Source organism: Homo sapiens, chromosome 16 (genome assembly GCF_000001405.40).
Source record: "Homo sapiens chromosome 16, GRCh38.p14 Primary Assembly".
Lineage (NCBI taxonomy): Eukaryota > Metazoa > Chordata > Mammalia > Primates > Hominidae > Homo > Homo sapiens.
In genome coordinates, this window is record NC_000016.10 from 57663309 (window position 1) to 57689762 (window position 26454).

Sequence of the window (26454 nt, forward strand, 5' to 3'; positions counted from 1 at the left end):
GGTCTCATGGGTGCCCGACAGCACGTGCTTGGCAAACACTATGGAGAGGTGGGGCAGACCCGAGTCACAATGGCTGGGGAGGGAGGAGGAGGGATGGGGTGGGGCTCCCCCACCTGCTGACCCCGTGCCCTCACTGCCCGCAGGCTTCCTCATCTTCATCTGGTACTGGTCCATGCGGCTGCAGGCCCGGGGTGGCCCCTCCCCTCTGAAGAGCAACTCAGACAGCGCCAGGCTCCCCATCAGCTCGGGCAGCACCTCGTCCAGCCGCATCTAGGCCTCCAGCCCACCTGCCCATGTGATGAAGCAGAGATTCGGCCTCGTCGCACACTGCCTGTGGCCCCCGAGCCCGGCCCAGCCCCAGGCCAGTCAGCCGCAGACTTTGGAAAGCCCAACGACCATGGAGAGATGGGCCGTTGCCATGGTGGACGGACTCCCGGGCTGGGCTTTTGAATTGGCCTTGGGGACTACTCGGCTCTCACTCAGCTCCCACGGGACTCAGAAGTGCGCCGCCATGCTGCCTAGGGTACTGTCCCCACATCTGTCCCAACCCAGCTGGAGGCCTGGTCTCTCCTTACAACCCCTGGGCCCAGCCCTCATTGCTGGGGGCCAGGCCTTGGATCTTGAGGGTCTGGCACATCCTTAATCCTGTGCCCCTGCCTGGGACAGAAATGTGGCTCCAGTTGCTCTGTCTCTCGTGGTCACCCTGAGGGCACTCTGCATCCTCTGTCATTTTAACCTCAGGTGGCACCCAGGGCGAATGGGGCCCAGGGCAGACCTTCAGGGCCAGAGCCCTGGCGGAGGAGAGGCCCTTTGCCAGGAGCACAGCAGCAGCTCGCCTACCTCTGAGCCCAGGCCCCCTCCCTCCCTCAGCCCCCCAGTCCTCCCTCCATCTTCCCTGGGGTTCTCCTCCTCTCCCAGGGCCTCCTTGCTCCTTCGTTCACAGCTGGGGGTCCCCGATTCCAATGCTGTTTTTTGGGGAGTGGTTTCCAGGAGCTGCCTGGTGTCTGCTGTAAATGTTTGTCTACTGCACAAGCCTCGGCCTGCCCCTGAGCCAGGCTCGGTACCGATGCGTGGGCTGGGCTAGGTCCCTCTGTCCATCTGGGCCTTTGTATGAGCTGCATTGCCCTTGCTCACCCTGACCAAGCACACGCCTCAGAGGGGCCCTCAGCCTCTCCTGAAGCCCTCTTGTGGCAAGAACTGTGGACCATGCCAGTCCCGTCTGGTTTCCATCCCACCACTCCAAGGACTGAGACTGACCTCCTCTGGTGACACTGGCCTAGGGCCTGACACTCTCCTAAGAGGTTCTCTCCAAGCCCCCAAATAGCTCCAGGCGCCCTCGGCCGCCCATCATGGTTAATTCTGTCCAACAAACACACACGGGTAGATTGCTGGCCTGTTGTAGGTGGTAGGGACACAGATGACCGACCTGGTCACTCCTCCTGCCAACATTCAGTCTGGTATGTGAGGCGTGCGTGAAGCAAGAACTCCTGGAGCTACAGGGACAGGGAGCCATCATTCCTGCCTGGGAATCCTGGAAGACTTCCTGCAGGAGTCAGCGTTCAATCTTGACCTTGAAGATGGGAAGGATGTTCTTTTTACGTACCAATTCTTTTGTCTTTTGATATTAAAAAGAAGTACATGTTCATTGTAGAGAATTTGGAAACTGTAGAAGAGAATCAAGAAGAAAAATAAAAATCAGCTGTTGTAATCACCTAGCAAACTGGCGTAAGCATTTTGGGTCATTTCCTTCTGAGCTTTTTCCTGTGCTTCTATTGAAAGAGTCACTGATACTAATACAAATACCTTGGGGCCAATCAGGAAACATGAAAGAGAGAAGAGGGCTGTGTGTGAAGAAAAAAAAAAAATCGACTGCTGGAAACCTCATCAACCAGGGCACAGGGGAAGATAAATGGCAACTTGGTGTCTGTGCTGGGGAGGCAATGGGGAGTGGTGGGGCCTGTGGCGAACTGGAGACTCCCAACCCCATGCTGAGAGCGTGGCTGCTCATCAGCTCCAGCTGGTCACTACCTTGCAGGGATGAGGGCCCATGTAGCCAGACCACCTGCCTTTTATGAGAAATGGGAAATCCAGACTGTGGTTTGACATCCCCTGATTTTAAAATTTTGGCGAATCCAAAACATTTTCTGGCCAAAGAGATTACAGTCAAAAGCTGCCTGGTCCTGGGATTTATGCAACCAGTTTACTGATCACTCTGCAGCAGGTGGGCTGCAAGAATTAAATCACTGGACTTCTCTCCCATCCCTGCCTTTAACCTTGTTCCACCAAATCAATCTCTCCTCCCGCTCCTAAGGCCCAGGTGAGGCAGATCACGCAGGTTCCCATCTTCCCTGTGATGAGGGCAGTCACAACGGATCATTGCTACTGTGTTCAGGTAAGAGGTCCCAGTGCAGCCAAAGTCCTCCCCAAGGCCCACAGTCCACTCTCTCCCTTCTGCAGGCTCCTCCCTCCTCCCCTGGCCACTCTAGGGGGATGCCCAGCAGGGGAAGAGGCTCAGAGTCTTGGATTGGACAAGGTGGGTGTGAGGCAGCTGGGTCTAGACTGGCAGTGCCCTCTGAGGGGCGTGAATGTGGGATCTTGGGACCTGCAGGGACCAAGAACCCCTGTGCCCTGCTGCTCTCCCAGCCCTCCCTCCACCCCCTCCACTCCCTCCACTGACCTCTGTCCCCACCTTTCTGCAGGTGGGGGGCTCCTCTTATGCCCCCAGCTCCAAAGGACAGAGGCCAAACCTTCCCAAGCCTCCCCTACCCCAGTGTCCGGATTGGGCAGCCCCGGGGGATCAAAGCCAGCTTCCCTCCTTACAGGCTTCTAGGTCTCCGTGAGGGGGGTCTCTCAGAGCCCCATGGCTGGGCTAGGTCCTGGGATGGGGGTTGAGGCAACTCCCCCCATCTTCCAGAATGGGGGGGAAATGACCCAGCCCCGTTCCTCCGCAATTCTCCTGCTTCTCAAACATTTTGTTTCTGCATCTGAGGCTGGCTCAGGTAGTGGGGAGGGGTCTTGGGTTGGGTCTCACCTTCTCAGGTAGGCCCTGCACAGGGCACCAACAGTTCCATGCTGATCCTTTTACCCCGATGGTTATTATCATGCACTTTCCCAGGCTGTGGGGCTTTGGACAGTGGGATCGCCCTTTCTGCCAGCATGTGGCCAGGCGTGCATCTGGAAACATCCCTTTAGCTTGGGAAATGGATTGGAGCAGCTGAGGGCTGAATGCTGGCTGGGTCTCGCTGGAGGACTTGAGGCCCTGCCCACTGGAGCCATTGGGAGAAGCTGGGGCAGGAGGCGGCAGGAAGGGACACTACTGTTTTGTTGGCCCTGGGGTTGGGGGGGGTCTCAGGGTTCTGTGAGTGGCTCCAGGCTAGTCCCTGGTCCCCAGGGGGCGTTTCAGGGAAGGGGCCTTAGGAAAAGGTGGCCCTCCTTCCAGCCCTGCCTGACCTTCCCCTGCACCTGCCCTCTGCCCACTTCCCAGGTGGGCTGGCTGCTCGGAATCTCAGTCTGCTCACCCCCAGGCGCTTCTTCACACACTGGTACCTGCGAGCCTCTCTGAGGGCCCAGGTGCCAGGATGGGGCTTCAGCGATGGGCCCAGCACATCCAAGTCCACTGCCCCACCTCACCCTCACCTGCAGCTGGGAGGGAGGTCTGCAGATCTTCCAGGAGAAGGCTGGCCAGGTGTGGAGCAGTGGCAGGCCCAGCCATTCATCTGCCTTCGCAGCCCTCCCTGCAGAGGAAGTTTCTGGGGCTCAGGAAGCCCTGGGCTCTGACCTGCTGCTCCATGCTGAATTCCCACCTGCTCCCACACCATGAGTGACCCTGACATCCCCTCCCTACCCCTTCCCAGACCCAGAGGGCTCAGCAGGAGACACTGAGTGGGAGGAGGAGGAAATGGAGGCCAGCAGGGGCTGAGCGGCTCCCCAGTTCAATCCCAAGGCTGAGTAGGGCTAGTGCCAGCCCCGTGGGCCAGAGGGGGATGCCAGCAACCACACACCTTGGTGGGATGCCCTTCACCTTCCAATTGCCAAGTGGCCATGGCCTCATGCACAGTGCATCCGTGGGGCCTCCAGAGTTGGCCCGAGTGGCTGGCGCCCTAATTCCTTTAGGCTGAAGCCCAGGAGTGTTTGCCACCCCCACCTCCCACCTGATCAGTGACCATTTGGGGTGTAAAGACAACAATTTCACAGCTCTGATGATCAGAAATGATGTAATGGCCACAGGCGGCTCCGCCTGCGTCATCCATGATTTCATCACACACCTCGGGAGGCTCAGGGTGACAGACAGTGCATGCAAGGTCACCCGGCCAGGAAGTGGCCAGGATGGATGTTAGCTCAGGCCTGACCAGCCCCCGGGGCCGCACTGCTGTCTTCCCGCTACCCTGCCTCTGGGTCCGTCCTGTTATCCAGGCTGGTGGGGGAAGCTCAGGCTGCAGGGCCAGCTCCTGCTCTCCTCCCACACCCTCCAGCCTGGTTCAAGCCATAGGCACCATCTGGGTCTTCGTCCTCATGCCCAGAGCCAGGCTCTGTGCCCAGCTTGTTGCAGGTCTCATCAAACCCTGACACAGCCTTAGGAGGCAGCCCCATTGCCATCTTCACTTTACAGAGGAGGAAACTGAGGCTCAGAGAGGCTCCCAGCTTGTGAGAGGAGGGGTCTGAGTAGGTGCGCCTGACTCCAAAGCCTGTGCTCACCACAGTTCCCAGGGATCCGCTCTGAGCCAGGCCCCTGTGGCCACCCAGCCCCTAGCCCCGTAGATCCCACCCCAGTGGGGCCCCGGGGGCACATACCTGGGTGGGCTCAGCAGCTCCCTCTGCAGGTGGACCCAGGGTGCGGTGAGACTGGGAGCACTGCCCAGTTCCCCACACTCACCTTTCACAACCCAACCAATGGCGCCATCGAGCAGGAAGGGTGAGAAAGAGGACACAGGAAGCCAGAGTGGTGGGGCTGCAGGGTGGGGGCAGGCCAGCTCAGCAGAGCCTGGGGCCAGAGGGCCAGACAGCCACAGAGCTCCTGGCGTGGGCAAGGCTGGCCAAGGATGGCGACGCCCAGGGGCCTGGGGGCCCTGCTCCTGCTCCTCCTGCTCCCGACCTCAGGTGAGTGGCTGGCACCTCATCCCCTCCTGCCACGCTGGGCCGACCCTGCCCTGCCGAGGGAGGGATCCAGGGACAGACGCAGGGACTGGAGAAGGTGAGGAGTTGGGGTGTCTGGGATGTGTCCTCCGATACCCCCCGTGGCCGCCTCAGCACCTTCTCTAGCCCTGTCCCTTTGGGTCAGTCCTGTCCTTCCACTAAACCTTGCTCAGGACTGGTCTCAGGTTCCCTTTGTTGCTCCACAGTGCCCTGGAGATAGGGGAGGTCGGAGGGTGCTCCCTGACTCCCCAACCTGGGCTGTGTCTCCCTGACAGGCCTGGCTCTGAGACAGGGGTTGGCCCCGGGCAGGCAATTCTCCAGCTGGCTTGTGAGATCCTGGGGACGGGATTCAGACACTCTGGAAGCTGAGGCCAGGAAGGTCTGTCACCTCGTTCTTCTGGACCTCTCCTCCCGCACATGTCACCCCACACCGGCTCCCTCTCCCAGTCTCAGCCACAACCTCTTGGTCCTCAGTGGCCTGAGCCAGGATCCACACTCCTCCCCGTCACTCTCCCGTCTCACACACAAACACATGGTGCGTCTCCAGAGGCCATGGAAGTGCCCGGGCCTTGCCTTTGCTGGCCTCTCTCCCAGGAAAGCTGTCCCCCTACCCCTTGCCCACTTAGCCAGCTCCATTTACCCTTCTTGGCCTCTGTGGCGTCTTAGCAACCCTCTCGGACAGAGGGAGGTGCTCCCCCGTTAGTGCTCCCTCCTCAGTGCTCCTGTCTCAGGGCCTTGCAGGCCACTCTCTTTTTGCTCCTGACTCGGTGAGGGGCCTGCATGTCCATCTCCCTGTGTGTCCAGCGTGTGGTCGCGTGACTTTGGCCACATAGATCAACTTATTTGGTCTTCAAATAACCCTCTTCTTTTCAAACATTGGAAGATTCAGTGGAGTGAATCAGTCCCTGGCTCAAAAAAGGGTGGGAGATGACAGCACTGTCCTCCTAGTGGCCCCGGGAGGCCCTGGTACAGAGCAGGCCACCAGGCAGCCCTTGATAGATGAATGAACGGAGCCACCGATGGCAGCTGTGACCAGGGCTCATGGGCGTCCTCAGGTCCCAGCTGTCATCGCTGGTTGGGCCTTCAAGCCTCCTCCAGGTGATGCTGTTTCCCCCATGGTGATGTGGGTGCTCTGGTTGGGGCAGAGCAGCAGCCATTTGATTGAGCAAGGAGCTCTGAGAGGTCTACACACAGGAAGGTCTGCACACTTCCTGTGTGGACAGTGATGTGTTAGTCTCCATTCTCCATTTGCGCATTCATTCATTCATTCATTCATTCAGGAAGCATCGATGGTGCCCTCTGCTCCTGCTGGTACCACTTGGCCCCTGCCCTCAAAAGGCTCACAGTCTGCAGGAGTGACACAGTGTGGTGGGGGCTCGCATGTGAGACCCAGCTGTTAGGGCTGAGCAAGGGGTGGATGCAATGGAGGGCCTGGCATGAAGGGACACGTGACAAAGGTGCGGGCAGGGCACGGGGAGCAAGGAGGGTGGTCACTGGGCAGGCTGGCACCTGGGGCAGCCTTCAGCACCGTGAGGTCTAAAGGGGCCAGGAGGGAGTGGCCCCCTGGGCTTCTACAGCCAGACTGTGGCTACAGGAGGGAAATGGCGGTGGTTTGCTCACGGTGAGCCAGCAGGGGCTGAAGGAGCCATGCGGGGTGGGGGCAAATGCCCACTCTGCCCTCCTCCTGCCCTCTGACCTCCAGTCCACTTTCCACTTGCTGACCCCCAAATGAGGCAGTCCATGGAGGCCAGGCTCTGGAGCATAGAGGGTCTGGAGAGGAGGGGAGTGCTATCCCACCCACAGGCCTAGCACAGGGTCTCCTTGTCTACATGAAATGCTTGCAGTGTCTTCAAAGAATAAACACAGAAAAGATATTTAATGATCCTGTCTGTGTAGGGTGCTTGCCAAGAGCTTCACTTACATGCCTGCGCTGAAATTCATGGCAATCCGGGAGGGAGGCCTGCACCTGGACCCATTCATGACAGCAGGGCCGGGATGGCAGAGAATGGCACCCGTCCTCAAGCTGACAATGTTATCTCCCCTCCTCTCCTGTCCTCTTCCTTCCCCTCTCAACCCCTCCTCCCCTCTCCTCTCTTCCCTCTCCCTGTTTCTGTCTTCTTCCTCCTCTCCCTCTTCTCCCCTTTTTTAAAAAGCCAACATAGATCATACTATATTCATGCTCATCTATCATTTTCATTTCCCATTAAACAATGCATCATAAATATCTTTATAAACTAACAGAAATTTACAGTTCCTTTATAAACTATCTAAAACGAATTATCACATATAGAGTCCATTATTACAAAATCCCCTCTAAAATGTTATTTTTTTACCCTGCTGTTACTCTTTATTCAGCCATTATTTTTATCATGTCTTTTTTGTCTTAATGATTAAAAATGAACAGTTTTTTAAAAAATGTGACAGTAATACTGGACATGATTTTTAAAAAATCAAATACCAGGGAGGGAAATAAAAAATGGAAAGCAGATGAGCCCCTGCCCGCCTCAGCCCCCAGCACCACCCATCGCAGAGGGAGCTCTCCTAACACTTCCTGGGGGTGGCAATCCGAAAAGTGACAATGCAGAGCCAAGACCCACTTCCCACCCTCAAAGGGAGAAGGATACAACAAAGCACTTCAGAGTAAAAGACATAAAAGTGGCCGCAGATATACAGGTAGATGCTCAAACTCCTTAAATGGAAATAAGATTCAATGTCATCCCTCAGACTAGCAAAAATCCAAAAGTTCAGTAAGCTATAGAATAATAGGCATGTGGATAGTCACTCTTATCCACTTTGAGTGAGAGTATAAATAGGTACACCATTTTCTGGAGGGAAATTCAATAATACCCGGCAGTTTTTTAAAGCACATACAGAAAGTCCTAGAATAGGAGTTTTTTTTTTTTTTTTTTTTTTTTTCGAGACAGAGTCTCTCTTTGTCTTCCAAGCTGGAGTGCAGTGGTGTGATCTTGGCTCACTGCAACCTCCGCCTCCCGGGTTGAAGCAATTCTCCTGCCTCAGCCTTCTGAGTAGCTGAGATTACAGGCACCCACCACCACGTCCGGCTAATTTTTGTATGTTTAGTAGGGCTTCCCCATGCTGGCCAGGCTGGTCTCAAACTCCTGACCTCAGGTGATCCACCCATCTCGGCCTCCCAAAGTGCTGGGATTATAGGCGTGAGTCACCGCACTCAGCCTTCCTGGCGGTGTTTTAAAGCACATACAGTTAGATACAGAAAGTCCTAAGATAGGAATGTTTTCTATGAGTTCTCAACACAAGCTGAAAAGATGCACACTCAAGAATTCTTATGGCAGATTGTGAAAAACAATGTCCACCAAGAGGGGACCGGTTAAAAAAGTGTTGCAATGCCCATGGAATGGAATAGTTTGCAACTATATAAAGAATGAGGTGGAAAAGTTCTTCAAGATATATTGCTAGTCCAAGCGTGGTAGCTCATGCCTATAAATCGCAGCACTTTGGAAGGCCAGGGTGAGCGGATCGCTTGAGCCCAGGGGTTTGAGATCAGCCTGGGCAACACAGCAAAACCCTGTCTCTAAAAAAATAAAAATAAACAACATAAAAAAAGGAAAAACTAGCCAGGCATGGTGGCATGTGCCTGTAGTCCCAGCTACTTGGGAGGCTGAGGTTGGAGGATCGATTGAGCCTGGGAGGTCTAGGCTGCAGTGAGCTGTGATCATGCTACTGCACTCCAGCCTGGGTGACAGAGCAAGACTCTGTCTCAAAAGAAAAAAAAAAGATATATTGTTAAGTGATCTTATTTGTGTAAATTTAAAAAACGATGTATCGGCAGGGCTTGGTGGCTCACACCTGTAATCCAGCAATTTGGGCAGCTGAGGCAGGAGGATCGCTTGAGGACAGGAGTTCGAGACCAGCCTGGGCAACATAGTGAGAACCCCCTCTTCTTAATTAAAACATTTTTTCCTTAAAAAAATGATGTACTTATAAATACTTGCATATGCATACCTTCTGCAAAATTTCCAGAAGGCTGTGCAATAAACCGTTAAAGATGGTAAACTCTTTGAACACCTACAATGAGCTATGTATGTCCTTTATCTCTAATCCTTCCCAAAACTTGCAAGGAATGTATTATTAGCTCCATTTTGCTGGCAAAAGATTGAGCCTCAGGTTGTTTAAGTAACTTGCCTCAGGACATACAGTTAGTAGATGACCCAAAGCTTCCATTTTGTGCCCTGTATTAGGTGAAAGGGAACCGAACTAAAAGTCACAAAAGCTGGTCTTTAGTCCTGGAGCAGCCTCCAACTAGCTAGTAACCTTTCTCAAGTCATTTTGCTCGAGGGGCCTTGGTTTGCTGTATTTTCTACCTGTCCCAGGAGGTAGCTGTGATGGTTGTGTGTGCTTCTTAGCACAGGTGTGAGCCACCACGCCCTGCCAATACATCATTTTTTAAATTTACACAAATAAGATAGTGTGAATGTGGGAGAATGAGGCAAACCAAGACAGAATACATCCAAGAGTTTAACCAGGAGGCCACAGTTGCAAGGGCTTTGGAAGGTCTGATGTGGAATAACTGAAAAGCCAGGCAGACTCCCTGGAGGAAGGGGTAAAGGAGTAATAGCACAAACATATGAAACCTTTTATTTACAGAGCCATGTGCCAAGCCTTTTGTACATGCTTTCCCCAAAGCATCCTACCAGCCCTGGGAGATGGGGTATTTGCTTTTACCTTGGAAACAGCCCCAGAGAGGGTCTGCATCCTGCTCAAGTGCACCGTTAGTGTGATGCATGGAGCTGGAATTCTAGCCCAACCACCAGACTCTGGAGCCCCAGCTCCTTTCCCTGCTCCTCATCCTTGCTGCCCATCTTCGTCCAGCCCATTCACACTCTCTGCATTCCTTCCTTAGGTCAGGAAAAGCCCACCGAAGGGCCAAGAAACACCTGCCTGGGGAGCAACAACATGTACGACATCTTCAACTTGAATGACAAGGCTTTGTGCTTCACCAAGTGCAGGCAGTCGGGCAGCGACTCCTGCAATGTGGAAAACTTGCAGAGGTGAGGGGGCCCCCTGAGCTGGAGGGGGAATCTGAAGCTGCTGGGAGGAGGACTATCAGGAAGGGATGGGGCCATCTTCCCCCATGGCCCCAGAAAATGTTGCTCCCATCTGACTCTTCCACCTTGTTTGACACCACAGTCCCCCTGACCCAACATCCCCATTCTAGCAGTTGGGGTACCTACTGATCTAGGGTATTCAGAGATGAATCCACTCCTATCCTGGCCCTTGGGAGTTGTGGAATGACAGACACAGACCCAAATAATGATGACTCCAGAGTGTATACAGAATGGCAGACAAGGTGCCAGGTTAGCCCAGAGGAGGGAAGTTGGCCAAGGCTTCACAGAGGAGGAAACCTGGAAAGGGCTTTGAGGGTGCACAGGAGTTTTCCAGCTGGATCTAAACAATGGTGAGGATACAGGCAACAGAACTTGAAAGTAATGGGGGATAACTGCAATGCTTTGAACTGTAACAATGTAAACCGCGTGGGGATGGAAGAGACAATGGGCAGATGCGATGGGTGGGAGATAGGACTGGAAATATAAGCAGAGACTAAGGTGTGAAGGGTTGTGTAAGTTATACCAATGGGTGAGGGCGGCAGGGCAATGACATATTTTAAGCGCAGGGAGAGTATAGTCAACTCTGCGTTTTGGAATGATTGCTCAGGCTTCAGGGACCGGTGATGCAGGAAGACATGACCCAGTAGGATGCATCACAGGGGTCTGGGTGGGAGTGAGGGCCAAGTCAGCACCACTAGCAGCAATTGGCATTGCGTGCTTGGAAAGGAGAGATGGATTGGGGAGATGATACGATGTAGACTCCGTAAGACAAGAGACTGGTTAGATGTGGGGGTGAGGGAAATGAAGGGGTTTAGAATACAACATCTTTAGGAGCCATCTCCAAAAATATCTCTGCCTCTCTTTCCTTTTCCCACTCCTAATCAAAGTTGCCCATAACTCTTCTGGGATGCCTAGAAAAGCACGTGGCTTACATTAGTACTTAATAAATATGTGTTAAAGGAATGAGTTAAAGCCCTGCGCTCTCAGGCTTGGTGTTAGGACAGCCATCTCATTGGATCATGTTATTTCAGTGGCCTGAAAAGGCTTCCATTCCCACCTGCAGGTGATCCAGGAGCTTCTTAGCACCCCAGAGCTGTTCAGAGGCTCCTCTTTGTGCTGCCCAGGTATATGCCCAAAAGAATTTAAAACAAGTCTCCAAACAAAAGCTTATACATGGGCCAGGCACGGCGGCTCACACAAGTAATCCTAGCACTTTGGGAGGCCGAGGTGGGCAGATCACTTGAGGTCGGGAGTTTGAGACCAGCCTGGCCAACATGGTGAAACCCTGTCTCTACTGAAAATACAAAAAAAAAAAAAAAAAATTGCCAGGCTTGGTGACAGGCGCCTGTAATCCCAGCTACTCGGGAGGCTGAGGTGGGAGAATTGCTTGAACCCAGGAGGTAAAGGTTGCAGTGACCTGAGATCACTCCACTGCACTCCAGCCTGGGCGACAGAGTGAGACTCCATCTCAAAAAAAAAAAAAAAAAAGCAGCAGCAGCAGCAGCAGCAGCATCTTGTACGTGAATATTTGTAGCAGCACTTTTCACAGTAGCCAAAAAAAAAAGAGGAAAATACCCAAATGTCCCTCAATGGATAACGGCATAATTAAAATATGATCTCTCCATATGATGAAATAGTATTCATCCATAAAAAGAAATAAAATACAGGGGCCAGGCACTGTGGCTCGTGCCCAAAGTCATCCCAGTACTTTGGGAGGCTGAGGCAGGAAGATCACTTGAGGCCAGGAGCTCAAGACCAGCCTGGGCAACAGAGTGAGACACCGACTCTACAAAAAATAATTTAAAAAAAGAAATAGGGCCAGGTGCAGTGGGTTCATGCCTGTAATCCCAGCACTTTGGGAAGCCGAGGCAAGCGGATCGCTTGAGGTCAGGAGTTCGAGACCAGTCTGACCAACATGGTGAAACCCCATGTTTCTCTACTAAAAATACAAAAAAATTAGTTGGGTGTGGTGGCTCACACCTGTAATCCCAGCTCCTCGGGAGGCTGAGGCAGCAGAATCGCTTGAACCCGGGAGGCGGAGGTTGCAGTGAGCTGAGATTGTGCCACTGCACTCCAGCCTGGGTGACACAGTGAGACAGTCTCAAAAATAAAATAAAATGGAATACTGATACATGCTACAACATAGATGAACCCTGAAAACATTATGCTGAGTGAAAGAAGTCAGAAACAAAAGGCTGCATGTTGTATGATTCCATTTGTGTGAGCTATCTGGAACAGGCAAACTCAGAGACAGAAGGCAGATTAGTGATTGCAGGGGCTGGGGGAAGGGGGAAGGGAGAGCTTCATGGGTACGGGTTTCCTTTGGGGTGATGAAATATTCTGGAACTAGGTAGTGTGACGGTTGCACAACATTGTGACTTACTTGATGCCATTGAATTGGACACTTTAAAATGGTTAAAATGGTAAATTTTATGCTATGTGTACTTTACCATATGCACAAAAAAAGACAAACACATAAAATACTCAGAGGGACGCCTAGCTGGAATTCTGCAGGAGCAGCCTGGACGGCCCCCAAGCCACTTTTCTTCCTCCTGTCCTGATCCCAGGGTCTTTACTTTGATAGTTTGGGTCAGCCCTCTCACCCCAGGAGCCTGATGAGTGAGTAACTCAGCCTGCAGGATCCTACCCTCCCCCCATCCCTGGCCCTTTGCAGATACTGGCTAAACTACGAGGCCCATCTGATGAAGGAAGGTTTGACGCAGAAGGTGAACACGCCTTTCCTGAAGGCTTTGGTCCAGAACCTCAGCACCAACACTGCAGAAGACTTCTATTTCTCTCTGGAGCCCTCTCAGGTGAAGAGCTCCCCAGCCCTCTTGGCTGGTTCGGACCCTATTTTTCTTGGACGTATATTTCAAAACTCTAAGAGAGTTATATCCTGTGATATAACTAGGGCTTGTCCCTCCCCCACGTCCCAATTGGCAGAGCTGCGTCTGTAAAATGAGCTCTAAGATTCCTCCAAGCCTAAAATTTCCGTGAGCTCCTCTACTGAGGGAACATATTTGAAATGAGGTAAAGGGTTCGATGGACAGACTCTGGGTTTATGCTGGTCTGGATTCAAATCCCAGCTCTGCCCTTCACCAGCCATTGTGATCATGGGCAAATTACTTTTCTGAGCCTCGGTTTCTCTGTCTATAAAAAGATGAAGGTATTGCCCACTTTCAAGATTAACATGGCCAGGTGCAGTGGTGCACACCCGCAATTTCAGCACTTTGGGAGGCTGAGGTAGGAGGATGGCTTGAGGCCAGGAGTTCTAGACCAGCCTGGGCAACACAGTGAGAGTCCATCTCTACGAAAACAAAACAAAACACAAAACAAACAAAAGATGAATGAGAGGAGCAAATGAGATAATGCACAGGGAATGCTTGGGATAGTGAGGGCTTAGAAAGCCTCCTGCCTTCTGGAAGAAATGGATGTGGTGGTGGAACTTCAGGCAGCAAGGTGAGTTGGTTAGCACTGAGGTACTTTTAGGTTTGTCTGGAGAAAGGGGAATGGAAGAGAGATTCTTTCTCAACCCTTTATTATGTCACTCAAGCAGCTGAGCCCTCTGCAGGGGTTATGTACTGGCCCCAGAAATCACCTACATGTCCTTTCGTTGGGAGTCTGGACTGGGAAGGAGAAAGTTGGGGCCTTCAGCTCCAGCCATAAACCCCCTGTGCCAATGTGCATGGGGTGTTTCTGAGGCAGGCCCTGGGTGGGTCAGGCTGTAGCCCTTAGGGGAACAGGGAGCTCAGAGAATGAATGAAACATGCTTTGCAGCCGGGCACAGTGGCTCACGCCTGTAATACCAGCACTTTGGGAGGCCAAGGCGGACGGATCATCTGAGGTCAGGAGTTCGAAACCAGCCTGGCCAACATGGTGAAACCTTGTCTCTACTAAAAATACAAAATTAGCTGGGCATGGTGGTGCATGCCTGTAATCCCAGCTACTTGGGAGGCTGAGGCAGGAGAATCGCTTGAACCTGGGAGGCGGAGGTTGCACTGAGCTGAGATAGCGCCATTGCACTCCAGCCTGGGCAACAAGAATGAGACTCCATCTCAAAAAAAACAAATGCTTTGCAATGACCACTGAAATGTATTTCAATATTCTGACGATTCTTTGTTTTTTGAAAATGTGTTGTTGTTGTTGGGCGGGGAGGATTTGACATTCAGAGTAAACGTGTGTGTCCTCCCTCTCTGCCCTTGTTCTCTCGCTTCCTGAACTTCCTTCCTGACGGTTTTATTCTTTCCATTTATTCCTGAGTCAGAAGCCAGACACTGTCACAATCAAGCCCTGTGTAAACACTGGGACTGTTAGGGCCCTGGCCAAAAGCACATGCCCTCCAGCCGTCCTCATACTTGCACATTCAGCTTGCCCAGGCATCAGGTGCCCAGACAGGCACAAGCTTAGCTCTACTCTCTGTATTGGGAAAACCGAGGCTCCACAAGGGCTATAACTTGTCTAGGGATGCACAGCCTGTGAGGAGCAGAGCTTGCACTGTGCCCCAGGTGTCCTGCCTCTCAGAGCTGACAGTCCCCAGGTGCTGCCCCCTACCCAGTGTGCCTGCTTCCCCTCCCAGCTGGGGGAGTGGCAGGACTCGTGTTGGGGGGTGGGTACAGATGGGAGCTGCTGTGTCTGTGGTTGTAGGTTCCGAGGCAGGTGATGAAGGACGAGGACAAGCCCCCTGACAGAGTGCGACTTCCCAAGAGCCTTTTTCGATCCCTGCCAGGCAACAGGTCTGTGGTCCGCTTGGCCGTCACCATTCTGGACATTGGTCCAGGGACTCTCTTCAAGGTGAGGACTCAGGGAAGCTCCAAGGTTAAGTGCTAGGTCCTCTGGGGGCTCCATGCCACAGTTTGCTGTCACTGGAGCCTGCCGAGGGATCCAATGGGGACAGAGCAGGCAGTGAGCCTCTTAGTGTTTCTAATGCAGCCCGTGGCCATCTCAGACACCTGTCACTAGAGTCTATGGTCTTCAGACTCACACTGGTCACACGCTCTCAGATGTTTGACCCCCACACATGAGTGCCCTTTGGCTTGTCTATGTGTCCTGTGGGTGCTCGTGTGCTCTGTGTGTCCTCGTGCATGCACAAACATGCACATCCTTTTCTATTCTTGTGCACGCACAAGCCCATGTACTCAGCTGTGATCATATCCACACGAGCAAGTGTACCCATGCCCTTGCACATGTGTATACCAGGTATGTGCACCCAGAGGTGTGCATCCACTCCTGTGCAGACGTGTGTACCCCTGAGGGCTAGTGTGCTCCCCCCACCAGCCTCCTTTCTACCGAATGCACACTCACGCTAAGACCCTCAGGGGCACGCTATCCTCCCCGCTGACTTCCATTTCTTGGCTGATCTTGGCCCCATGCCCCCTCTAGTTAAGAGGGCAGAGGAGCTCTGGAGGCCAGCAATGGAGAGCTGTCAGGTGCACAGCTTTGCAGCCAGTTGACCTGGCCCAGCCCAAGCAGGAGACCACTGGGAGCAGCAGGGAGGAGGCTGCCTGTGACTCCTTGGCTCCCTGGTCCCCTGGTCTCGAACTCTGCCCTCCAAGCAAAGGCCATGGGTTCCTGGAGGCTCCTAGGAACCCCAGCGTTGGTGGGTTGGGATGGCCCCTTCTGCAGCCTGGCCTCCCCGATCTCCCCTTTCACAGGGCCCCCGGCTCGGCCTGGGAGATGGCAGCGGCGTGTTGAACAATCGCCTGGTGGGTTTGAGTGTGGGACAAATGCATGTCACCAAGCTGGCTGAGCCTCTGGAGATCGTCTTCTCTCACCAGCGACCGCCCCCTGTGAGTCCCCTGCTCAGGCCTGGCAGCCACTGCAGGGCAGACAGGCGAGTGGGCACACCTGGGCCCATGGGCCCTGCATGGGACACTACATATCTGTCCCCTACCCTTCCACAGTCGCCCAGGAGGAGCCATTAGGGCCATACACATAATTGGATCCAAGGCCACACACCATAGAGGTGCACATGAGGACCTGGCAAGCCCACCTGCATACACATGGCATTCCACATCCTCCACACCCATGCTCCCCTGACACGCACACATGCATGCAGACAGGCAAACCCTCCTGCCCACAGCCCCACACCACAGTCGCACGCTTCACACGCCGGCCCAGGGCTCATCAAATGGTGCACTTAATTTTTCTGTGTGGCCCATGGGTGTGAACCTTGCTTTCTACCTAATGCACACTCACACTAGGACTCGGGGGAGCACACCGTCCTCCCGCTTCCCCTGCCCTCCCCCAAACTTCCCTTTTCCTCTCTCCTGACTTCCACTCTTCGGTTTCAGAACATGACCCTCACCTGTGTATTCTGGGATGTGACTAAAGGTAGGGCCCGGAGGACCTTCTCTGGGGTAAGACAGGAAGGGAGGGTATGGGCTGCATTGTGGGGCGGGGCTAGCTCCACTGGCTGAGTCCCTCCCCTGCCTTCCTCTCCCCTCCCCTCCCCTCCTCTTTGCTCCCTGCATCCCCTCCCTTCCCCTCCCCTCCCCCCCCTCCTCACCTCCCCTTCCTCCTCCCCTCCCTTCCCTATATTCCCTTCCCCTCTGTTCCCCTCCCCTCCCCTCCCCTCTCCTCTCCTCCCCTCCCTATATTCCCTTCCCCTCTGTTCACCTCCTCTCCCCTCCCTTACCCTCCCCTCCCTATATTCCCTTCCCCTCTGTTCCCCTCCTCTCCCCTCCCTTGCCCTCCCCTCCCTATATTCCCTTTCCCTCTGTTCCCCTGGCCTCCTCTCCAGGGACCACTGGAGACTGGTCTTCTGAGGGCTGCTCCACGGAGGTCAGACCTGAGGGGACCGTGTGCTGCTGTGACCACCTGACCTTTTTCGCCCTGCTCCTGGTAACAGCCCCCTCCACTCTGATCCCAGCCATCCCAGGGGCTTCCAGCTCCTGCCCTGGGGAGGGGGCTGCCTGGTGGTCTTTGGGTATATGGGCCTGGCCTCCAACTGACGTGGTCCCGGTTCTGGGGTCACCCACAGAGACCCACCTTGGACCAGTCCACGGTGCATATCCTCACACGCATCTCCCAGGCGGGCTGTGGGGTCTCCATGATCTTCCTGGCCTTCACCATTATTCTTTATGCCTTTCTGAGGTGAGTGATCCCCACCTCCCCACCATGTCTCCCTCCCGCCCTCAAGGGAGGCAGCAGGGCAGGGTGGGAAGCATTCAGGTTGTGCAGCCTCTGACCGTTGTCCCCTCCACACGTTAGTGTCCTCATCCCAAAATGGGGTTGGGGGTTGAAATGTGTCAGAGCTATTTCAGGAGCAAGTGGCAGAAACTCAACTCAAATTGGCTTAAACATAATAGGGAATGTGTGGTTCACGTAACTGAGAATAGCAAATAGCAAATAGGGTTCATGTAATTGAAAAACCCAAGGTGCATGGACTTCTGGCAGGGTTCGATCCAGGGGGTCAAAAGAGGTCCCCAGAACTTGGTCTCCCTCTACCTCTCACAGCTTTGCTCGCCCCTTGACAGTCACATCGGGCAGCTTTACCACCCTCAGGGGCCCTGGCTGCCTCAGGATTGCATCATAGCTCCTTAGCTGCTTAGGCAGAAATAAAAGAGATCTCCTCTTTCCAAGTATTCTAAGATGAATCCCAGGATTGAGAAGGATTTTATTTTGAGATAAAACAGAAAGATGCAAAAATAGTGCAGAGTCCTGTGGTTCGTTCTCCCAGATTCCCCCTGTGGATACATCATAGACAACTGTAGTTCAATATCAAAACCAGCAGCTGGTGGTACAGTACTGTTGACTAGAATACAGACTTTGCTCAGTTTTCACCATTTTTTATGTACATTCATGTGTGTGTCTGTGTGTGTGTCTGTGTGTGTGTGTGTGTGTGTGTGTGTGCGCGCGTGCGTGCGCGCAGGACATATCATTTGATTGGCCCAGTCCAAAATGAAAATAAAGAAGGCTGGGCGTAGTAGCTCATGCCTGTAATCCCAGCACTTTGGGAGGCCGAGGCAGGTAGATCACCTGAGGTCAGGAGTTCGAGACCAGTCTGGCCAACATGGTGAAAGCCCATCTCTACTAAAAATACAAAACAAAAGTTAGCTGGGCGTGGTGGTGCGCGCCTGTAATCCCAGCTACTCAGGAGGTTGAGGCAGGAGAATCGCTTGAACCAAGGAGGCGGAGGTTGCAGTGAGCCGAGATCACACCATTGCACTCCAGCCTGGACAACAAGTGCAAAACTCCGTCTCAAAAAAAAAAAAAAAAAAAAGAGAGAGAGAGAGAGAAAGAAAATATATGGCCCCTTATTCAAAAAATTTTAAGAATGTCAAGATGGCGACAGTAGAACATTAAGTCCTTCTGCGTATGGGGTCCTACAGAGGTCACATGCTCATGAAACTGGCCCTGTGTGAGCATGTGTGTGCATGTCTGTGTATATCAGCCTATGCAGTTTTATCCCGTGTATACACCAGAGTTGAGTCTTACTGGTCTAACTTGGACCATGTGCCCATGCCTGTCTGGGTCACTGTGGTCAAGAGCTGGAATACACAGATTGGCCGGCCAGGCCATGTGTCTGCTCTTGGGTTTGAGCTAACAAAGAACCCCTGGCCCCTGACTTATGAGAGTGGGGACGGGCGTTCCTTAGGGAAACCTGGGGCTGTGTCCAGAAGAGGTGGGAGTGAGTGCAGGACAGGCAGAAACAGCAGAGAGCACTGCAGCCTGGGCCCAGGCCATGGCTGAGGGACCCACAGGATCTGCCAGCTTGAAGGAGCCTAGGGGAGCTGCCAGTGCTCCAGCTTGTCCTGTCCCCTGCCTCCTGGGGGTCCCTGGGGGTGGCCTAAAGCAGCCCTTGGGTCTCCTGCCCCCGCATCCAGGGCCGTCCCTCCGCCCTCTCCACGTGCCTCTGTGTCAGCATTTGGCCCTAGGCTGCAGCCCCAACTAGGCCCACCCAATCCATCACAGACCAACCCATGAGTGTAAATGGTGCCCCTCACCCCCACCCTCCAAGCCCTGGCCTAGGACATGGTCCCCATCCCCAACAAGCCGAGTGTGACTTGCCAGCTGGCCGCATTGCTGGACCCTGTGAGCGGGGCTTGGAGCGCCAGGAGAAATTACCACCAGCTCCCCAGGGTGGGGCCTGGCATCTCAGGTGAGGTGGACATGATCCCAGATGCTCCTCCAGGAAGCCCCCGGCTCCCCTCCCTCGGCTGAGAGCCCTTTTGGATCTGGTTTGCTAAGAATTCAGAGTGGGGGCTCCAGAGAGAGGGAGGTGAGCCTGGTGAGTCACTGGACAGGGAGTCTGGAGCCCAGGGTTGGAGCCCCTGCCCTGCTCTGTGACCCCATAAGGCTCCCGTCCCTCTCTAAGCCTCACTCTCCTACTGCATTTTCGGCTTCATGCATCCACCCATCTGTCCATCCACTTCACCAATGGATCCCTGGTCCCACCACTGTTAGGCCTGAAGTTCACAGCATGGGAAAGACCCGAGGAGAGAGAGGATGGGGAGTTACACTATGCTGCTGGGAAATGTCCAGTTCAGCTCAGGCTAAGGGGCATTCAGAGATGGCCTCCCCAGAAGGAAACCTCCAAGGGGCATTTGAAAGGCAGAAGAAGAGGAGTCAGGCAAAGAAGGTGGGAGGAGCTGGGGAGCAGGGAAAGGCATTGAGAACAGTGGGAAGAGCTGACCTCTGCGAAATGAGATCAGCCTCACCTTGGTATAGTTTGGGTCATTCCAGGTGTTTTTTTTCTTCTCTTCCCAAGGCTGCCTAATCTCTAGCCAGTGTCTGGCTTTTGACTGATAGGTGTGTTGCTCAGTTACTTTGGGCCCGTGTACGTTTGTGTGTCACCTCCATCCCATAATTTTAAGTACATGCATGATATGCAGCCCATATGCATGAACCTTAAGTAGCTAATTATCATACAGGGTTATGTGAAAGAAACTTTTTCTCTCTAATGTAAATGCCCATCTCTGAAGAGCTGCCCCTTACTGGTTTGGTCCGGATCTTGCCGGCCACGGGGTCCCTTTTTTATGTCACTTTTGTCTTGCCTGCTGAACCTCTGCTTTTCATCTCACTTCTTGCTCACCCGTCCCATTCACCGTGCTTCTATTCTCTGCTTTTACTTATTCTGCCCTTTATCCAACTTTTAATTCCCTTTGCTATTCTCCTGCCTCATTTTCTGGCCTCATTTTCCCTATTATCCTGCCTCACATTGATCAAGGGATGAGGCTGGCAGGATCCGGAACCCACAGGGCCCCGTGGGCCATGAGAGGCTCCTGGACTTGAACCTCAGGACACTCCCACTCTGGCTGCCGGCAGGGATGGAAGCTGGATGAGCAGGCAGGAGCTGGCAGTGGGGGTGGAGAGCCATAGGCTATTGGGGTGGACAGGCTTGGGTGCCTCATGGGAGCTCCCCATGGGAGCTGTGGCCCCTTGGGGCCTCTTATTTCTCACCCCAGGCTTTCCCGGGAGAGGTTCAAGTCAGAAGATGCCCCAAAGATCCACGTGGCCCTGGGTGGCAGCCTGTTCCTCCTGAATCTGGCCTTCTTGGTCAATGTGGGGAGTGGCTCAAAGGGGTCTGATGCTGCCTGCTGGGCCCGGGGGGCTGTCTTCCACTACTTCCTGCTCTGTGCCTTCACCTGGATGGGCCTTGAAGCCTTCCACCTCTACCTGCTCGCTGTCAGGGTCTTCAACACCTACTTCGGGCACTACTTCCTGAAGCTGAGCCTGGTGGGCTGGGGTAGGTGCTGCCTGGATGGACAGAATAAACGGCCGGCCCTGAGGGTGCAGAGGGAAATAGCCTTGGGGAGAGAGAGGAGGGGTTCCCAGAGCTGGAGGGATGGCCATCTGGAGGGGACGTGGAGGAGGAAGTGCCAGTAAGCCCCAGTGGTGTCATGCCATTTCCCCTTGTGCCCAGGCCTGCCCGCCCTGATGGTCATCGGCACTGGGAGTGCCAACAGCTACGGCCTCTACACCATCCGTGATAGGGAGAACCGCACCTCTCTGGAGCTGTGAGTGGCGGCTGTGGGAGCAGGGGTGATGCCAGCTCCCCGGCTACACATATTGGGGCTGGAGAGAGGTGGGGAGAGGAGGGATTTCTAGGAAAATCTAGACCAAATATGTCAAGACCAGAAGAATCCTCAGATCCAGCTAGCTCATGGCACAGAGAAGTAAACTGAAGCCTAGAGAGAGAGAGGGGAAGTGAAATGAGAGAGGGGGCCTGAGAAAGGAGAGGGAGAACTGGACCAGGAGGCAGGATGCCTTACTTGAGCCTGGGCCAACACGAGCCCACATGGCACCTTGAGGCAAAGTAAAGAAGGTCACCCCGTCCGCATGCGGGGTGCGCAGCCTGGAGAGTGGAGGGTGTGTTGGATTTCAGCCCCCACCTGCTGCCCAGCCAGGTGTCCTTGTTCAGGCCACCACCTGCCCAGTGATTCACAGTAGCCCTGGGTCTAGTCTGGGCTCTGCCCTGCCTGCTATGTGTGTGATCTTGGCAGGCCCGATCTCTCCCAGGGCCTCAGTCTCCTCATCTGCACCATGGGGGAACTGATCAACATGCTCTTTGAGGCCCTTTGCCCCTGCAGTGCAGAGGGCAGTGGAGCTGAGTTCAGTTTCTAGACTCACACCTTGGGATCCATGGGGCACCCACCACTGGGCCCATGGCTCTGTGCTAAGAGGAGCTGGTGAGGCCTTGGACCTGTCCCCAGGCCTCAAAAGCAGGGGCCCCAGGAGCTGGAGGGGTCACAAAGGTGCAGGCAGTGGGCCAGGTGGGGACTGCAGCGGACTGGCAGTCACAAGCCCATCTAATTAGCGGTCAGTTACTATCCTTCAGGAGGGCATCCACAGAGCTGCCAGGTGTATGATTTTATAGGAGAAGCAGAAATCTAGGTGTTTATACCAAAGCTTCTGATTTTAAAGGCGGCCACTAATTCCGTTTTTTTCACAATGTAATATGGGGCAAATGAAACATGTCTTTGAGGTCACTTTGGCATTAAAGAGACACCAGACTGGAGCCAGGTGACGGCCCCTCCCACAGCGGGAGAGCCAGGGATTGATGGGTGGAAATGGGAGAGGCACCTTCACAGACAGAAAAGCTCAGCCAGGGGACTTCCTGGGTTTGCTGGCCAGAGGTACCACTCCCAGTCCCACCACAGCTGCCCCCTCCTCCAGATGCTGGTTCCGTGAAGGGACAACCATGTACGCCCTCTATATCACCGTCCACGGCTACTTCCTCATCACCTTCCTCTTTGGCATGGTGGTCCTGGCCCTGGTGGTCTGGAAGATCTTCACCCTGTCCCGTGCTACAGCGGTCAAGGAGCGGGGGAAGAACCGGAAGAAGGTGCTCACCCTGCTGGGCCTCTCGAGCCTGGTGGGTGTGACATGGGGGTTGGCCATCTTCACCCCGTTGGGCCTCTCCACCGTCTACATCTTTGCACTTTTCAACTCCTTGCAAGGTGAGGCCCCTGCACCAGGGAGGTGATGGGCTGTGTTGTCTGTCCCAGGAGGTATTGGGAGGTGGGGAAGAGGGTGGTTTGCAAGACACAGGACTCTGTTCAGGCTAGCTGAAGTCAAGGATGTTGATTTCAAATACTCAGAGCAAGGATCCAGGGCAGCAAAGTTTGGCTGCTGTATTAGTCCGTTTGTGTTACTAGAATACAAAGGAATACTCGAGACTGGGTAATTTATAAAGAAAATGGGGTTAATTGGCTCATGGTTCTGCAGGCTTTAGACAAAGCACAACACCAGTATCTGCTCCTGGTGAGGCCTCAGGAAGCTTCCAATCATGGTGGAAGATAAAGGGGAGCCAGCGTATCACATGGCGAGAGTGGGAGCAAGGGAGTGGGGAGGCACCATGCCGTTTTAAACAGCGAGATCTCGCATGAACTCCAAGTGAGCACTCACTCATCACCAAGGGGATAGTGCTAAGCCATGCATGAGGATCCGCTCCAAGGATCCAATCTCCTCCCCTCAGGCCCCACCTCCAACATTGGGAATCACATTTGGACATGAGATTTGGAAGCAACAAACATCCCAGACATATCAGCTGCCTTCATGGGAGCTGCTACCAGAATCAGAAAAAGCCACCCAAACCAAAGCAGATACGTTCTCTATCTTTTTCCTGGAGCTATGGAGTCTCTCACCTAGTGTCTGTGGAAACTCCTTCATTCTCTCTCCACTTACCCTTTACTACCCATGGCCCCAAATTGTTACCCAACATGGCTGCCGTAACCCTACCTGACCTTGCAAGTTGGGTGTCCATCGTCCATCTCTGGTCCAATCAGCTGCGACCAGAAGGGCAGAATCATGTGATATGATGTCCACATGACATGGATGGGATCTCCAGGGATCTATGGAGGTAGGAAGGAAATGCTTGCTGTATTTGTTACTGGCCCCCGCAGGGCCCTTCCTCTGAGATCCCAGCAAAGGGGTAAGAGCAGTCCATGTGCTATGGTTTATATGTGTTCTCTTTGCTCCTTACATCCACAGCCCAGAGAGGCATCACAGTCTGACTGTGAGAGAAACAGCCAAGACAGGAGTGACGAGACTCAACCTGTTCAGGGAAGTCACTAGAAACCCAGGCGTCCTAGATGCAGCGGGTATAAGCCCCCAAGACCAGGACTGGCTCCCAGCGCCCCATGAGAGATGTGTGGCTTAGTGGCTAGGGCCAGGCAGCCCTGGGTCCAAATCCTAGCCCCATCCCTGACCCAGCAAGTCACTCAGCTCCTTCCGTCCTCATTCATCGCGAAATTGGGATAATCCCGTACTTATCTCACCAGCTTTTTTTTTTTTTTAATTGAGATGGAGTCTTGCTCTGTCACCCAGGCTGGAGTGCAGTGGCACGATCTCAGCTCACTGCGACCTCCACCTCCTGGGTTCAAGTAATTCTTCTGGTTTCAGCCTCCTGAGTAGCTGGAACTACAGGCACATGCCACCATGCCCAGCTAATTTTTGAATTTTTAGTAGAAATGGGGTTTCACCATACTGGTCAGGCTGGTCTCAAACTCCTGACCTCAGATGATCTACCTGCCTCAGCCTCCGAAAGTGCTGGGATTACAGGCGTGAGCCACTGTGCCTGGCCTGCCAGATTTCACAATGAACAATGACAATGCATATGTGGGAACTACTAGGTCTTCAATATGTGGGAACTATATTAATAATCATAGAAATTATGACTGTAAGGCCATCTGAGGCTGTCTCCAGGTGGAGAATCATGAGTCCATGCCTGGAGAATCCCAGGGGTTGATGGTTGGGGAGAAATGAACTTTGAAACTATAGCTGACATCGTTATTCTTTCAGAGGTTACCTTAATATGTAAGCCTGCACACTTCACTCTACTAAGTTTCCACTGGGTCTGAGTTATTCTGTATTTCTCTCTTCCTCTCCAATACAACAGAGCCCTTGGTATACTTGAATTGCCCATTGAACTCTTCTCAATATTTGTCTTGCATATAGAGGTTTAGTTACAGATTTCCTTGAAACATAGAGTTTTTCTAAGTCATGTTCTGTACTTACTATAATTTCTTTCACCCCACACTTTCCCTTTTCCTCTTGCTGGAGTGCCTCCCATAATAATCCTTTATAGAGGGAGTGATGGTTGTTTTGTATGTCTGAAAATTCCTCTATTTTGCTCTTTCTTTTCTGTAATAGGCATAGGTAGATATTTTATTTGAAGGTCTCTGTTTTTCATTTCCAAGATTTCGATTTGGTTCTTTTTTATTTCATTTTTGAAATGGTTGTGAAATGGTTGCATTTTTGCCTTTCCCAGCAGTTCTTGAGTGGTTACGGTGGGTCTCCTCCCTCTCAGCAGCCACCAGCCCAGGCTGCCCCACTCTCTGCCCACCCCTTTCCAGGCTCACCGAGGCCTCTCCTTCCTAACAGGTGTCTTCATCTGCTGCTGGTTCACCATCCTTTACCTCCCAAGTCAGAGCACCACAGTCTCCTCCTCTACTGCAAGATTGGACCAGGCCCACTCCGCATCTCAAGAATAGGAAGGCACGGCCCTGCAATATGGACTCAGCTCTGGCTCTCTGTGTGACCTTGGGCAGCTCCGTGCCTCTCTCTGTACTCCCTCAGTTTCCTTCTCTGTACAATGTGGCTGGGGAGGGAGAGGATGGGACCAGGTTGGACCACGTGGCATCAGAGGTCCCATCCAGATCCAACTATAGGTCCAAGAGTCCACGTAAGCAGGTTTGCAAGGCTCTAAAGTTCCTATAGTCCTGAGACCCCCTGCCAGCAAAGAGTGACAGTCACCTCCATGCCCTGCCCTCATTGCAAAGCCCTCACTCACCTTCTGGTCTCAGCAAGGGAGGAGAGTCTGTTGCTGGCATAGCCCTGGAAGGAGCCCCCAGCCTCTCCCCTCCTCCTCCTTGTCACTGGCCTCCCACAACTCCCCTTCTGGCTGCCTGTAACCTTGAGGGGCATTCAGGAGGCCAGCGTTCCCTCAGGCACTGGGGGTTTGTTTTGGGGGGTGGGAGTTGATCCTCCCACCCAGTCTGCCCCTGGTCTCTGCCCATCCAATCAGAGCCCACCCTCCTGGAAGAGACCCCCGTGTTCAGAGTGCTGGCAGCCCTGCACGTGTCCAGGGACACTGCATTTCAAAGAACCACTGAGTGGGTGAGCTACCTTGGGCAAACCCCCCACTCCTGACTCTGACTGCCACGTGGGTGGCCCGACCTCTGACCTGCTGTCATCGTAGAGGTAGAAAGCAAACAATCTGGGGCTCAGCACACCTGGGGGTGCTCCCACTCATTCAGTGTGTGGGGCCCCTGAGCAGAGGCTGGGCATTGCCACTAGGACCTGAGCTCCTAGAGAACAAGGACCTGGGTGGCCTCGCTTACTGTTCCAGCCCAGGCCAAGCACAGGGTCTGGCTCGTGGCAAACCTTGAATAAATATTTGTTGGCTGAATGAGTGGATGTATGAGTTTGGCACCAGCCTGGCAGATCCCTGAGCCAAGGGGGGTGTCTCAGGCCAGACCTAGGTTGGGCAGGGTACTTCCAGCAGCTGGGGCTCCATGTCACAATCGCATGCAGGTTTCTCAGTAGGAAACAAAAAGAGGCAGAGATAGCAGAGATGGGGTAGAGATACAGAGATGGAGAGAAGGAGAGAGAGACTTAACAGACAGGCTGACACAAAGAGGGAGAACGGTGGCGGAGAGACAGATGCAGAGAGATGGCAGCCCCACGCCGGCTCCAGCGACCCCCCTCCTCGGGGGGAGCAGTGAGTGTTGACATCATTCCCCTCCCTGGAGCCTCACCGCACAAGTCCATCCCTCACTCTACTCACAACTTA

At 53.7% G+C, this 26454-nt stretch overlaps 2 protein-coding genes across 72 annotated transcripts in view, besides 1 other annotated feature; both read left to right on the plus strand.

Moving 5' to 3' along the window:
• The window catches only part of ADGRG1 (adhesion G protein-coupled receptor G1), a 45830-nt gene extending 43571 nt beyond the window's left edge, over positions 1-2259 (plus strand). For all 62 annotated transcript variants that reach the window (NM_001370440.1, XM_006721340.4, XM_047434907.1 and 59 more), the window contains one exon: positions 144-2259. In NM_001370440.1, coding sequence (NP_001357369.1) covers positions 144-274 — 131 coding nt within the window. In that variant the 3' untranslated portion in view covers positions 275-2259. The remainder of the gene's footprint in view (positions 1-143) is intronic.
• ADGRG3 (adhesion G protein-coupled receptor G3) lies at positions 2321-26070 on the plus strand. Of its 10 annotated transcripts, none has more exons than XM_047433780.1 (13): positions 2321-2392; positions 10013-10160; positions 12892-13030; positions 14862-15008; positions 15869-16003; positions 16508-16547; positions 16957-17057; positions 17197-17309; positions 19177-19317; positions 20624-20904; positions 21082-21175; positions 22335-22618; positions 25044-26070. In XM_047433780.1, exons 2-13 carry the CDS (start codon positions 10066-10068, stop codon positions 25151-25153), a joined length of 1680 nt encoding a protein of 559 aa, XP_047289736.1. In that variant the 5' UTR covers positions 2321-2392; positions 10013-10065; the 3' UTR covers positions 25154-26070. The 10 variants fall into 10 exon arrangements, with proteins under 10 accessions (XP_047289736.1, XP_005255899.1, NP_740746.4 ...); XM_005255842.5 differs by lacking the exon at positions 2321-2392 and adding an exon at positions 4998-5097; NM_170776.5 differs by lacking the exons at positions 2321-2392; positions 19177-19317 and adding an exon at positions 4998-5097.
• Positions 13465-14405: an enhancer, noted in NCBI's record as "H3K4me1 hESC enhancer chr16:57710685-57711625 (GRCh37/hg19 assembly coordinates)". NCBI's record gives its function as "activates a minimal SCP1, AML or CMV promoter by ChIP-STARR-seq in primed H9 embryonic stem cells {active_cell/tissue: H9 hESC(primed)}" and the evidence as "EXISTENCE:reporter gene assay evidence [ECO:0000049][PMID:30033119]".

Coding starts and splice junctions, on each gene's coding strand:
- ADGRG3 (XM_005255842.5), top strand. CDS start 5,040: ATGGCGACGCCCAGGGGCCTGGGGGCCCTGCTCCTGCTCCTCCTGCTC. Junction 17,310..19,176: donor ATTCTTTATGCCTTTCTGAG/GTGAGTGATCCC, acceptor CCACCCTCCAAG/CCCTGGCCTAGGACATGGTC. Junction 22,619..25,043: donor ACTTTTCAACTCCTTGCAAG/GTGAGGCCCCTG, acceptor CCTTCCTAACAG/GTGTCTTCATCTGCTGCTGG.